This window comes from Homo sapiens, chromosome 1 (genome assembly GCF_000001405.40).
Source record: "Homo sapiens chromosome 1, GRCh38.p14 Primary Assembly".
Taxonomy (NCBI): Eukaryota; Metazoa; Chordata; class Mammalia; order Primates; family Hominidae; genus Homo; species Homo sapiens.
In genome coordinates this window covers 6,541,468-6,553,528 of record NC_000001.11, presented here as the reverse complement: position 1 = coordinate 6,553,528, position 12,061 = coordinate 6,541,468, and the positions used below count along the sequence as shown (strand labels likewise).

Below are 12,061 nucleotides of genomic sequence, written 5' to 3'. Positions count from 1 at the left end.
AAAAGGTTGCAATTACTGAGAGCTCAGAAATTCCAGGATTTAAGGGTTCCAAAAGTGTTTTAGGCTTTGAACCCATTTAAACATCCAGCTCTCTTACGGAGTAGTTGTCCCTCTCTCTAAGTGTTTACAGACGAGGAGACTGAGGTTGGGTAACTTACACAGTAGAGGGAGAGCTAGGAGTCGAACTCAGGCAGCCTGATTCTTAACGTGGATGCCATTCCTGGAGATTCCCTGTCTAATGCAGGAGGGAAGGCAAAACCCAGGAAGTTCTGGAAGAGACTTGGCAAGCTGTGGGTCTTTAAAAGGACAGAGTGGTAGAGTCTGTCTGAACCAGGAGCACAGAGCCGAGTTCACGGTCACCATGCTTTCTCTGTAGCTGCCATGGGGTATGATCTTAGTTTAAAAATATAAAGTATGGGCCAGGCGCGGTGGCTCAGGCCTGTAGTCCCGGCACTTTGGGAAGCCGAAGCTGGCAGATCATCTGAGGTCAGGAGTTTGAGACCAGCCTGACCAACATGGTGAAACCTCATCTCTACTAAAAATACAAAAATTAGCTGGGCATGGTAGCACACGCCTGTAATCCCAGCTACTCAGGAGGCTAAGGCAGGAGACTTGCTTGAACCCGGGAGCTGGAGGTTGCAGTGAGCCAAGATCACGCCATTGCACTCCAGCCTGGGCGACAGAGTGAGACTCCGTCTCGAAAGAAAGGAAGAAAGGAAGGAGGGAGGGGAAAAGAAAGAAAGGAAAAGGAAAAGAGAGAGCTGGGCACAGTGGCTCACGCCTGTAATCCCAGCACTTTTGGAGGCTGAGGTGGGTGGATCACCTGAGGTAGCGAGTTCGAGACCAGCCTGGCCAATATGGCGAAACCCTGTCTAGTGGCTCACGCCTGTAATCCCAGCACTTTTGGAGGCCTAGGTGGGCGGATCACCTGAGGTCAGGAGTTTGAGATGTGGTGGCACACGCCTGTAATCCCAGCTACTCTGGAGGCAGAGGCAGGAGAATTGCTTTAACCTGGGAGGTGGAGGTTGTGGTAAGCTGATACTGTCCCAAAAATAAATAAATAAATAAAAATTAAATAAAATTAAAAAATTTAAAAGGCTGCAGCCATAAAAAGGGATGAGATCATGTCCTTTGCAGGGACTTGGATGGAGCTGGAAGCCGTTATCTTCAGCAAACTAATTCAGGTACAGAAAATCAAATATCGGCCGGGTGTGGTGGCTCACGCCTGTAATCCCAGCACTTTTAAGTTCCAGGGTACATACGCAGGGTGTGCAGATTTATTACGTAGTTAAATGGGTGCCTTGGTGGTTTGCTGCACAGATCAACACATCACCTATGTATTAAGCCCAGCATCCATTCTTCCTGACGCCCTTCCCCAGACCCCCACAGGCTCCAGTGTATGTTGTTACCCACCATGTATCCATGTGTTCTCATGGTTCAAATCCCACTGATAAGTGAGAACATACCATATTTTGATTTTCTTTCTTTTTTTTTGAGATGGAGTCTCGCTCTGTTGCCCAGGCTGGAGTGCAGTGGCGCAATCTGGGCTCACTGCAAGCTCCGCCTCCCGGGTTCACGCCATTCTCCTGCCTCAGCCTCCCGAGTAGTTGGGACTACAGGTGCCCGCCACCACACCTGGCTAAGTTTTTTGTATTTTTTTTAGTAGAGACGGGGTTTCACCGTGTTAGCCTGGATGGTCTTGATCTCCTGACCTTGTGATCCACCCGCCTCGGCCTCCCAAAGTGCTGGGATTACAGGCGTGAGCCACCACACCCGGCCGATATTTGATTTTCTGTACCTGAATTAGTTTGCTGAAGATAACGGCTTCCAGCTCCATCCAAGTCCCTGCAAAGGACATGATCTCATCCCTTTTTATGGCTGCAGCCTTTTAAATTTTTTAATTTTATTTAATTTTTATTTATTTATTTATTTTTGGGACAGTATCACTGTCGCCCAGGCTGCAGTGTACTGGCATGATCTCAGCTCACTGCAGCCTTTGCCTCTGGATTCAAGCGATTCTCATGCCTCAGCCTCTGGAGTAGCTGGGATTACAGGCACATGCCCAGCTAATTTTTGTAATTTTAGTAGAGATGGTGGTGGCGGGGGTGGGGTGCAGGGGGGTTTGCCATGTTATCCAGGCTGGTCTCAAACTCCTGGCCTCACTCAAGTGATCCCCCCACCTCCTTCTCCCAGAGTTCTGGGATTACTGGCGTGAGCCACCGTGCCTGGCCCAATACTTATTACTGATGGAGTGGAGTGGTGTAATTACGGTTCACAGCAGCCTCTACCTCCGAGACTCAAGCAGTCTACCCACCTCAGCCTCCCAAGTAGCTAGGACCACAGAGGCATGCCACTGCACCCTGCTAATTTTTAAATGTTTTGTAAGGAGAAGTCTCACTCTGTTGCCTAGGCTGATCTTGAACTTCTGGGCTCAAGTGATCCTCCTGTCTCAGCTTCCCAAAGTGTTGGGATCACAAGCATGAGCCACTGTGCCTGGCCTTACCTGCCTTTTGATGTGTGAATAGCAAGTTAAGATTTTAGAATTTGGCCAGGTGCGGTGGCGCACGCCTGTAATCCCAGCACTTTGGGAGGCCGAGGTGGATGGATCACCTGAGGTCGGGAGTTCAAGACCAGCCTGACCAACATGGAGAAACCCTGTCTTTATTAAAAGTACAAAATTAGCCGGGCGTGGTGACACTTACCTGTAATCCCAGCTACTAGGGAGGGTGAGGCAGGAGAATTGCTTGAACCTGGGAGGTGGAGGTTGCGGTGAGCCGAGATTGTGCCATTGTACTCCAGCCTGGGCAACAAGAGCAAAACTCCATCTCAAAAAAAAAAAAAAAAAGATTTTAGAATGTTTCAGTCATTAGTGACATGATCTATAATGTTTTTTCTGTTTTCTCTCCCTGCTAGGGTTTTACTTTTAGTGGGATCTGTCGTGTGACTTGCCTCTATGGCCAGGTGCAGGTATTTGGTTTTACCATCAGCCAAGGCCAGCCTGCCCAAGACATCTTCTCTGTGTATACCCACTCTTGCTTGAGTATCCATGCACTTCACTACTCACAGCCTGAGAAAAGCAAGAAGGAACTGAAAAGGGAAGCCCGGAATTTGCTCAAATCTCATCTTAACCTTGGTAATGAAAAGAACTGGGTAATTTACTGAGGGCCTACTGTAATAAGGCTAATTCATAATTTTTAGGGCCAGGCGCGGTGGCTCACGCCTATAATCCCAGCACTTTGGGAGGCCAAGGCGGGCGGATCATGAGGTCAGGAGATCGAGACCATCCTGGCTAAGATGGTGAAACCCTGTCTCTACTAAAAATGCAAAAAATTAGCCAAGCGTGGTGGCAGGCGCCTGTAGTCCCAGCTACTCGGGAGGCCGAGACAGGAGAATCGCTTGAACCCGGGAGGCGGAGCTTGCAGTAGGCCGAGATCACGCCACTGCACTCCAGCCTGGGCAACAGAGCGAGACCCCATCTCAAAAAAAAAAAATTATTTTAGATGCTTACTATGGTCTAGGCAGTGTGCTAAGGACGTTGTGGTATCTATATAAACCCTTACGAGGGTCCTGAGAGTGAAAGTACTATTGTTATCACCATTTTACTGACAAGAAAAATTGTTCAAGGCCACAGAATTATTATGTGGCAAACCTCGATTGACTTCTCCTCCCAGATGTGTTCTTAGTATGTAGTACGGCCCCCTGAAAAAGGCTCTCAACCGTAATTCCTACTCTCCTAATGTTTATAGTTTAGCCGAGGAGATGGCAGTCCTAAAGGGCGTGGAATGTAATGAAGTTACTGCTTCTAAGGTGGTTTATTTTTCTCTTTACAGATGACAGGCGTTGGTCGATGCAGAATTTTTCTCCTCAGTGTTCCATTGTGTTGCTAGAACATCTGAAAACTGCCACTGTAAACTTCATAACCAGCTATCCGGGTTCATCCTACATTTTTGTGCAAGAGGTAGAACCCGTTTTCATTCAGAGTTTTGCTAATTACTTGCACCAAAACAGTGATTTCAAATGACTATGTAGGATGTTGTCTTGGAAGAACAGTTGGTCTATCTAGTGCTCTCAGTCCTACAGAATGTAATACGTGTATACGGAAACTATTATAGAAAGGTGTATCGTGAAAAATGTTCATCCTCCCCTCCTTAGTTTCATACCTGAGCCACCATTTTATATCGTAGTTGGTTAAGTGCTTTTTGGGTTTTTATTAACACCATGCTCCAGCCCTGCTTTTTTGGTTGGTTGGTTGGTTGGTTGGTTCGTTTTTTTGAGACGGAGTCTCACTCTGTCACTCAGGCTGGAGTGCAGTGGTGCGACCTCAACCTCACTGCAACCCCGCCTCCCAGGGTCAAGCAATTCTCCTGCCTCAGCCTCCCGAGTAGCTGGGATTACAGGCGCCTGCCACCATGCCCGGCTAATTTTTGTTTTTTTGTTCTTTGTTTTGAGATGGACTCTCTCTCTGTTGCCAGGCTAGAGTGCAGTGGTGTGATCTCTCGGCTCACTGCACCCTCTGCCTCCCGGGATGAAGTGATTCTTCTGCCTCAGCCTCCCAAGTAGCTAGGACCACAGGTGCATGCCACCATGCCCAGCTAATTTTTTTGTTTTTAGTACAGACGGGGTTTCACCATGTTGGCCAGGTTGGTCTCAAACTCCTGACCTCAGGTGATCTGCCCACCTCTGCCTCCCAAAGTGCTGGGATTACAGGTGTGAGCCACCATGCCTGGCCTTTTTTGGGGTTTTTAATGGTTGTCTTTATATTTCAGTTTATTAATTTGAGATAATATAAATTGTCTCTAAACTATGAATGAGTAGTTTAAATGAACTTATATTTTCTTTTATCTCTTTCCTTACCTCTAATTTTTAACGAGTCTTAATTTTTATTAGTCAAAAAGGCTTCATTTTTTATTTAGCTTTCTGACTCTGTGCTTGTGCCTTCAGCACTTTTACAATGATGTTCTCCTCCTCGAGAAGGAAAGCACGCTTGATCCTGTCCTGAACACGTTTAGCACGCATGGAACCACCGTAGGCTCTGCTGACATGGTTTTTGTTTTGGACAATCTCTTAAGAACTTTAGGTCTTGGCGGGGCGTGGTGGCTCACGCCTGTAATCCCAGCACTTTGGGAAGCTGAGGTGGGCAGATCACTTCAGGTTAGGAGTTCAAGACCAGCCTGGCCAACATGGCAAAACCCCATCTCTACTAAATATACACAAAATTAGCAGGGCATGGGGCATGCACCTGTAATCCCAGTTACTCCAGAGGTGAGGCGGGAGAATCGATGGAACCTGGGAGGCGCAGGTTGCAGTGAGCTGAGATTGCGCCACTGCACACTCCAGCCTGGGAGACAGAGTGAGAATCCGTCTCAAAAAAAAAAAAAAAAAAAAAAAAAGAACTTTAAGTCTCATGGCACGGACCCCTCGAAGCCTGCCTGGGCCACGCCAATGCAAATTTTGGTGTTTTCCCAACCTTCTTGGTACAGAGACAAACAATTTTATTACCAGGGGTTCGGGACAGCCTAGTTTTGTTAGAGCCTGTATTGTAGGAAGCCTATGACGGTGTATTGTAGGAAGCCTATGATGATGTATTGTAGGAAAGCCTATGACGGTGTGTCAAATGCTGGACCATTCTCACTTCGTGTAGACAACGTCCCAAGAAGAGAGCTTTTATTTTTATTTTTGAGATAAAGTCTCTGTTGCCCAGGCTGTAGTGCAGTGGCAGGAGCTCAGCTCACTGCAGCCTCAACCTTTCCGGGCTCAGGTGACCCTCCCACCGGGGCCTCTCAGTAGCTGGGGTTACAGGTACACGCCATGACTCCCGGCTAATTTTTGTAGTTTTTGTAGAGATAGGATTTTGCCATGTTGCCCAGGCTGGTCACGAACTCTTGGACTCCAGCAATCCACCTGCCTCCAAAAGTGCTGAGATTACAGGTGTGAGCCACCGTGTCTGGCCTCACCTCTAAATTTTTGCTGACCGTATTATTCATTTCCTTAAGTTCTTTTTTTTTTTTTTCCATTTCCTTAAGTACTATTACTATAATTGTCTCCCATGGGCCAGTAGGTGGAGTCTAATCTCCAGGATTGGCAGACAGACTGGATATGTGAGGGGTGAGGAAGAATCAAGGAATCACAGCAGGTTTTTGGCTTAACGACTGGGGTGCATGTAGTTGCCATTAACTGGGATGGGGTCACTGCAGGAGGAGTGGGTTTCCATTTGTTAACCTTGAGATGCCTGGTAGACATCAGCTGGACATGTCAAGTGGGCAGTTGAATATGTGGGCCTGGAGTTCAGGGAAGAGTTTGGAGGTGTAAATATGGGAGCCTTCAGCAGAGAGGATACCCAGGCCACCAGATGCGATAATAATGCTGATGGAGTTGAATAGATAGAAACAAGATGGTTCCAGCTCTGAGCCCTGGGGCACTCCAAGAAGAGGTCCAGGCAAAGATGAGGGAGCAGCAGATAGTCATCGGTTTTGGTGGAAAACCCAGTGTGTGATGTCCTGTAGGTCAGGAAGTCTTTAAACGAGAGTTAACTGAACAGCGGTGGCGAAAGCTGCTGGTGGTCAGGTGAGACCTGAGAAAGCGCTGGCTGTAGAGGCCGGGAAGTAGCCTGATTGGAATGGGGTCAAGAGCCTGGGCGGAGAGGGACTCACAGGCTTAGTAGTAAAGTATTTTGCTTTGGTAGAAGTTAGCTGTAAAGGGAAGAAAAGAAATGAAGCACTAGTTGCAGGGATAAGTATGATCAGGAGAGTTTTGTAATTTTGTTAAGATGGATGAAAAAAACATGCTGGAACATGGCAGATGGGAATGATCCAGAGGAAGGGGGAGGTAACCATGCAGCAGAGAGAGGAGAGGCTGCTGGAACTATGTAAGTTGGCTACCAGGGATGGGTCCGGTTCTGGCATCATGTGGCCTTAGGAGCATAGCCAGGTCATTCATAGTGGCTAGAGGAAGTCCCTTGGAGAGGGCCAGAGGAAGTAGAAGTTGTCCTCTGATTATTTCCTGCTGCACTGGGAAATGAAATCAAGGTCGTCACTGTGTGGGAAGCAGATAGATACGAGGTGGGTGTGGGGAATTTGAAGTGAAAGGAGAGAAGAAATGAGAGTGGGACAGCGAACGGACTGTTGTGATTGCCTTTTAGTCTTTTGCAGAGTCCAGTAGCTGGACCAGGACTGCAGAGGAGGAGATGGAATTGCCTGTTCTCAAGCCTTGGTTACTGAAAGTGAATGTTCCAGATGCTATGGGGCAGCCACATTCTTTTTTCATTTATTTTCAGCTTTATCTGTTTTTCTGGGACTTCACCACCACTGTTCATATTTCTTATGCTCTTTCTTGGATACTTCCCTCCCTATCCCACCCTCTGGATGTGTCAGTAGATTCTGGAGTTGTTTTTTCACATAAGGGAGATAGTAAACTTGATTATCTAATTTTGTTAGATATTCTTGATTTGCCCTCAGTGATTGATAATTGCACACAGTGTAGAATGGTTGGTTCAACAGACTTTTTTCTCAAATTGTTGAAGGCCTTGTTCTGTTGTTTTCTAAGATCCAGCATTGCCGATAGGAAGCCTCACACTAGGCTGCTTCTCTTTTTTTTTTTTTTTTTTTTTTTTGAGACACAGACACAGTCTCCCTCTGTCGCCCAGGTTGGAGTGCAGTGCCACAGTCTTGACTCACTGCAACCTCCACCTCCTGGGTTCAAGCGATTCTTGTGCTTCAGCCTCCCAAGTAGCTGGGATTACAGGCGTGCACCACTGCGCCCAGCCTGCTTCACATTTCTTTATGGTATCTTTATTTTCAGTGTTGATGAATTGCAAGAGGACGGGGCCCTTCCTTCATCCTCTTCTGTGGTGAGCTGGTTCCAACTGAGCCTTACCTGCCTCAGCAAGGGCCTGCTCTTCCTTTCCTTGGGTTGCTTTCCCAGTCCTGGACTTCACAGACCTGTCTTCTCCCTCCTTTCAACTCTGTTTGCATATGTTCTGTCCGTGTGTTTTTGCTTTATGTTTTCAGAGGTTGCCTTGACTTGATTCTACATCACTCACCTGGTCTAGAGCCAGGGCCTCCTGCTGAATGTTTCCTGTGCAGTCATGTCTTACCAGGCATTTTCTTTTTCTCTGGAGTCTCCTGCGGAGGCAGTGAAGGCTCGAGAGAAAGCAGAAACTGAAAATAGACGTGGATAACTTCAGGAATACAGTTGGCAACACTTGTTGATGGGTTGGATTTTGGGGCAGGAGACAAAGGGAGGAAACAATTTATCTTCTCTGGCTCACAACTGTGTGAGGCTTGATTAATTTAGTACTGAAGAAAAAAATATGCATTTTTTCACCTTAAAGTTTAAATTGTTGATTTCAGAGTCCAACTCCCCAGATTAAACCTGAATATTTAGCCTTGAGGTCTGTTGGCATCAGAAGAGAGAAAAAAAGGAAAGGCCTTCAGTTAACTGAGAGTACCCTTTCAGCCCTGGAAGAGTTAGTCAATGTTTCCTGTGGTGAGTAATACACATTGATCACCCTGAATGTCTGTCCACCAGACCCCCAGAGGAAGATTAGTCATAATTCGAGTCCAAGGAAGACGGCTAATTCTAGCGATCAATGTTTGTTTCCCATTCAGAAGAAGTAGATGGCTGCCCTGTCATTCTAGTTTGTGGATCCCAGGATGTTGGAAAGTCAACATTTAATAGATACCTGATTAACCATTTGTTAAATAGGTAAGAGTGCTTTTCTTATGGCTTTGACACATTGCTAGGTTTTTGTCATGAAGTGGGATTTTTGATTTGGAGGGAATGCTTCTTGGCTTCTAGCTAGAGATTACATACAGGTCTAAAGCTGCCCAGCTGAAGCATCTGGTCCTCACTGCCGTCTGCTTTGCAGTATGTGACAATGCTCTAGCGTAGGCTGACTTTGCCTTACCTGCAGGCAGACTTCCAAGAGGAGACACTTGGTCTCAGAGTCTGTATTTATAAGTTCTGGGGTGGGGGGCGGGGGGGGGGTGCGTGTGTGCGTGCGTGTGTGTGTGTGTGTTTTCAGACAGGGTTTCCCTCAGGCTGGAGTGCAGTGGCACAGTCATACCTCATAGTCTTGAACTCCTGGGCTCAAGTGATCCTCCTGCCTCAGCCTCCTGAGCAGCTGAGACTACAGCCATGGGCCACCATGCCTGGCTAATTTTTTTATTTTTGTAGAGATGAGGTCTTGCTATGTTGCCCAGTCTGGTCTCAAACTCCTGGGAATTTTCGCTTAATTTTTTTTTTTTTGAGACCGGGTCTGACTGTGTTGCCCAGCAAAAAGTGTAGTGGCACAAACAGGGCTTGCTGCAGCCTTGACGTCCTGGGTTCAAGCAGTCCTCCCACTTCAGCCTCCCACGTAGCAGGGACCACACTAGCGCACCACCACACCTGGCTAGTTGTTTGTTTTTGAGACAGAGTTTCACTCACCCAGGCTGGAGTGCAATGGCATGTTCTCTGCTCACTGCAACCTCCGCCTCCCAGGTTCAAGTGATTCTCCTACCTCAGCCTCCCGAGTAGCTGGGATTACAGGCGTGCGCCACCATACCCGGCTAATTTTTGTATTTTTAGTAGAGACAAGGTTCCACCATGTTGGTTAGGCTGATCTCGAAATCCTGACCTCAGGTTATCTGCCCGCCTTAGCCTCCCAAAGTGCTAGGATTACAGGCGTGAGCCACCATGCCCGGCCTCTGGCTAATTTTTTTGTTTGTTTTGCTTTTGTAGACAGAGGATCTTGCCATGTTGCCCAGGCTGGTCTTGAACTCCTGGGCTCAAGCAATCCTCCTACCTTGGCCTCACAAAGTGCTGGGATTACAGATATAAGCCACCATGCCAGATCTGAAATTTTACCTTTACAACAACAACAGAGGTGGGTTATGGTGGCTTACATCTGCAGTCGCAGCACTTTGGGAGGCAAAAGTGGGAGGCTGGCTTGAGCCAAGGAGTTCGAGTCTACAGTGAGCTATGTCACACCATTGCACTCCAGCCTGGGCAACAGAGTGACACTGTGTCTCTAAATAAATAAATAAATAAATAAAGCCTGGGCGCAGTGGCTCACGCCTGTAATCCCAAGCCTTTGGGATGCTGAGGCGGGCAGATCACGAGGTCAGGAGATCGAGACCATCCTGGCTAACACGGGGAAACCCCGTCTCTACTAAAAATACAAAACATTAGCTGGGCGTGGTGGCAGGCACCTGTAGTCCCAGCTATTCGGGAGGCTGAGGCAGGAGAATGGCGTGAACCTGGGAGGAGGAGCTTGCAGTGAGCCGAGATGGTGCCGCTGCACTCCAGCGTGGGCGACAGAGCAAGACTCTGTCTCAAAAAAAAAAAAGAAAAAAAGGCTGGGCACCGTGGCTTCTGCCTGTAATCCCAGCACTTTGGGAAGCTGAGGTAGGAGGATTGCGTGAGCCCAGGAGTTTCGGACCAGCCTGGGCAACGTAATGAGACCCTGTCTCTACAAAAAATTTAGAAATTAGTCAGGCATGGTGGCATGTGCCTGTGGTCCCAGCTACTTGGGAGGCTAAGGAGGGAGTATTGCTTGAGCCCAGGAGGTCGAGGCTGCAGTGAGTTCTGATCACTGCACTCCAGCCTGGGTGACTCGGTGACACCCTGTCTCAAGAAAAAATAAACTTATATGAAAAATGGCTGAGTGTTAGCTCATGCCTGTAATCCCAGCACTTTGGGAGGCCGAGGCAGGTGGATCACTTGAGTTCAGGAGTTCAAGACCAGCCTGGCCAACATGGTGAAACCCTGTCTCTGCTAAAAATACAAAAATTAGCTGGGCACGGTGGCTCATGCCTGTAATCCCAGCACTTTGGGAGGCTGAGGCAGGCGGATCCCAAGGTCAGGAGATCGAGACCATCCTGGCTAACACTGTGAAACCCCGTCTCTACTAAAAATAGAAAAAATTAGCCGGGCGTGGTGGCACATGCCTGTAATCCCAGCTACTTGGGAGGCTGAGGCAGGAGAATTGCTCAAGCCCGGGAGACGGAGGTTATAGTGAGCCAAGATCGCGCCACTGCACTCCAACCTGGGCGACAGAGCAGGACTCCATCTCAAAAAAAAAATTCAGCTGGGCTCAGTGCCTCAGGCCTATAATCCCAGCACTTTGGGGGACCGAGGTGGGCAGATCACGAACGAGATCAGGAGATCGAGACCATCCTGGCTAACATGGTGAAACCCTGTCTCTACTAAAAATACAAAAATTAGCCGGGCATGGTGGTGGGTGCCTGTAGTCCCAGCTACTCCGGAGGCTGAGGCAGGAGAATGGCATGAACCCAGGAGGTGGAGCTTGCAGTGAGCCGAGATTGTGCACTGCAGCCCAGCCTGGGCAACAGCGTGAGACTCCATCGTAAAAAAAAAAAAAAAATCTGAAAGAGCAAGTTGTTATCCGTGTTACAAATGGACATTGTGACCATGCCTGCACTGCGTTTCTCTGGACTCGTTTTTAAACAGCGATTGTCATCTTGAGGCTTCACTTCTAAAGTGCTGTGTGTGGTGGATTATGCCTGCGTGTCACATGAAATCTTTACTGTGTGATTATCCTTTCTACTGAGTAAAGCTAGTTAGGATTTTCTTTCTTTTTTCTTTTTTAAAAATTTGCAGTCTTCCCTGCGTTGACTATTTGGAATGTGATCTGGGACAGACAGAATTTACCCCTCCTGGTTGCATTTCTTTGCTTAATATTACAGAACCAGTTCTGGGTATGTATTACATATTTCTCAAATGTCTTGGTTTTATGAAATTCATATGTGATGATGCTAACAAAAACTCAGAAATCGAAGAGTATAAAATATTAAAAGGGAACATGCGCCTACCAAACTCATGGTCTTTCCATAACTTGTTCCTCTAACCTCCAAAAAACAAACTATGGTGCTTTCTCATTTTAGGAAATGGAACTGCTACTCATTTTGTTTTATGAAATTAGTTGGGTATGGTGGCAAAAATTATTTTGTTTTATGTAAATTAGAAACACATGTTTCCCTAATTTCAACATCTTATGTACAACTATCGAGACTAAGAAATTAATACTGAATCAATACTGTTAATCAGGCTGCCTGTGGTG

General features: G+C 47.3%; 1 protein-coding gene across 5 annotated transcripts in view, besides 1 other annotated feature; it reads left to right on the top strand.

Moving 5' to 3' along the window:
• Nucleotides 1-12,061, top strand: part of NOL9 (nucleolar protein 9) — a 33,167-nt gene that overhangs the window by 985 nt on the left and 20,121 nt on the right. The window contains exons 2-6 of one of the 5 annotated variants that reach the window (NM_024654.5): nt 2,914-3,133; nt 3,831-3,958; nt 8,349-8,484; nt 8,607-8,703; nt 11,602-11,699. In NM_024654.5, the coding sequence (NP_078930.4) occupies nt 2,914-3,133; nt 3,831-3,958; nt 8,349-8,484; nt 8,607-8,703; nt 11,602-11,699 (679 nt within the window). Of the gene's footprint in view, nt 1-2,913; nt 3,134-3,830; nt 3,959-8,348; nt 8,485-8,526; nt 8,704-11,601; nt 11,700-12,061 lie in introns of those variants that run through there. The other 4 variants (XM_005263493.5, XM_047430556.1, XM_047430565.1 and 1 more) reach the window with 4 other exon arrangements.
• Nucleotides 705-1,205: an enhancer, noted in NCBI's record as "H3K4me1 hESC enhancer chr1:6612384-6612884 (GRCh37/hg19 assembly coordinates)". NCBI's record gives its function as "activates a minimal SCP1, AML or CMV promoter by ChIP-STARR-seq in naive H9 embryonic stem cells {active_cell/tissue: H9 hESC(naive)}" and the evidence as "EXISTENCE:reporter gene assay evidence [ECO:0000049][PMID:30033119]".